Raw genomic sequence first — 1,395 nt, 5'->3', positions numbered from 1 at the left:
AAATGCAAAGGCATAGCCTAAAGCAACTTATACCTCCCAGCCACAGATGAAATGGGGAATGTGTCCACAGCTTCTGTTGGCCTTACCAAGGACAATGTGATCATACTGTCCCCACAGGATTCCCCACACTGATCAGGGGCTGCAGGATGAAGCACCCACACTTGCTCAGCAGTGGCTAAGTGAGACCTCCGTACACATGGGACCCTCGTGGTTGTGAGTGTGAGGGGGACGCGTGCATTTGGTGAGCAGTGCGGGACGGGATGCCGGTGAGAGTCTGGCGTGGAGGCTGCATTCCTCCCTGGATGAGTTTTGTTGGGGATTCTTCCAAATGCCCTGGATTTATGATGTAATTTTAGTATAATTAAAACCTGAATCACTCAAATTATATAATTAATCACATTCAGCTTCAATCACCATTTCTAATTGATCCCAGGCTGCTGGCTCCGCACCTGGAAATCTTGGTGACACCAGGAACCGTGAGCAGGTGGCCCAGCCTCCTGCCTCCTTGCTCAAGTGCAGGGGCCAATTAGAAAAATGTTGTTTTGCTGCTGACCCCAGGAGAGGCAGGCCAGGCAAGGGCACAGGCCACACCCGACGGCCGTAACACACAGCGTGAAGGGGCTGCTGAGGGCAGGTCAAAGATGCAGCTGTGAAAGGACAAACTGGAAGACCCAGAAGATCCCAGAGCTCTGCGAGTCTCATAAGAGCCATGCGGTGTCAAATGAGCTGACCAAGCCTGGCAGGTATAGGGAATTGGACCCAAACTCAGTTCAGTAAGCACAGTGCCTGCTAGATCTGCCTTCTCCAAAACGAGCCCTGTGTTTTATGAGAGAACCCAGTAGAATGAGCATAAAAGACAGAAACAGTGCTGAGGAAGTGAGGGGCTTCAAAAAGGTTATGGAACACCGGAAGCTGAAGCCAGGGTGGCAGCCCACCCATGAGGTTGGAGATGGCGCCTGCTACAAATCGTCACCACTAGCTCACAGATCCTGGCACTCTAGACCAGAGGACCATGGCGCTTAGGAGTCCAGGTGGGTGGAAATGGATTAGGAGGACAGGATGAAAGCAGCCCATGATGAAGTCAAGGCCCTATGGGTCCAAGATGGTCCCTAGAGAGATCTCAGGGCTTGGGAGGCAAGAATGGGGTGGGGAAGCGAGTGCCCCATCTGGGAGACGGCAACCAAGGGCATCATTCTGTGCATCTGAGAGGGGCTTGCCATGGCCAACATCACAGAAAACTGCGATGGCATGTGGCCCCACAGCTTCTAGAAAAACCTCCAAGCCCCTGATGAGACTCGTCAGAAAACCTACAAAGCTAATACTGGAAATCACGGCAGTTCATTGGATGTAAGGTGTTGAGGATGTTTCAGAACGTGATCCGAACCTCCTCTCTCG

The 1,395-nt window shown here is 52.2% G+C and overlaps 1 annotated feature.

Annotated features, from left to right (window-relative positions):
• Positions 1 to 155: a silencer, noted in NCBI's record as "fragment chr10:133187995-133188149 (GRCh37/hg19 assembly coordinates)". NCBI's record gives its function as "represses an EF-1alpha promoter that drives an FKBP-Casp9 reporter gene in an ReSE screen in phorbol 12-myristate 13-acetate-treated (for megakaryocytic differentiation) K562 erythroleukemia cells {active_cell/tissue: K562(+PMA)}" and the evidence as "EXISTENCE:reporter gene assay evidence [ECO:0000049][PMID:32094911]".

This window comes from Homo sapiens, chromosome 10 (assembly GCF_000001405.40).
Source record: "Homo sapiens chromosome 10, GRCh38.p14 Primary Assembly".
Taxonomy (NCBI): Eukaryota; Metazoa; Chordata; class Mammalia; order Primates; family Hominidae; genus Homo; species Homo sapiens.
Note: the sequence above shows the minus strand (reverse complement) of the source record. Positions and strands in the feature narration are given on the sequence as shown.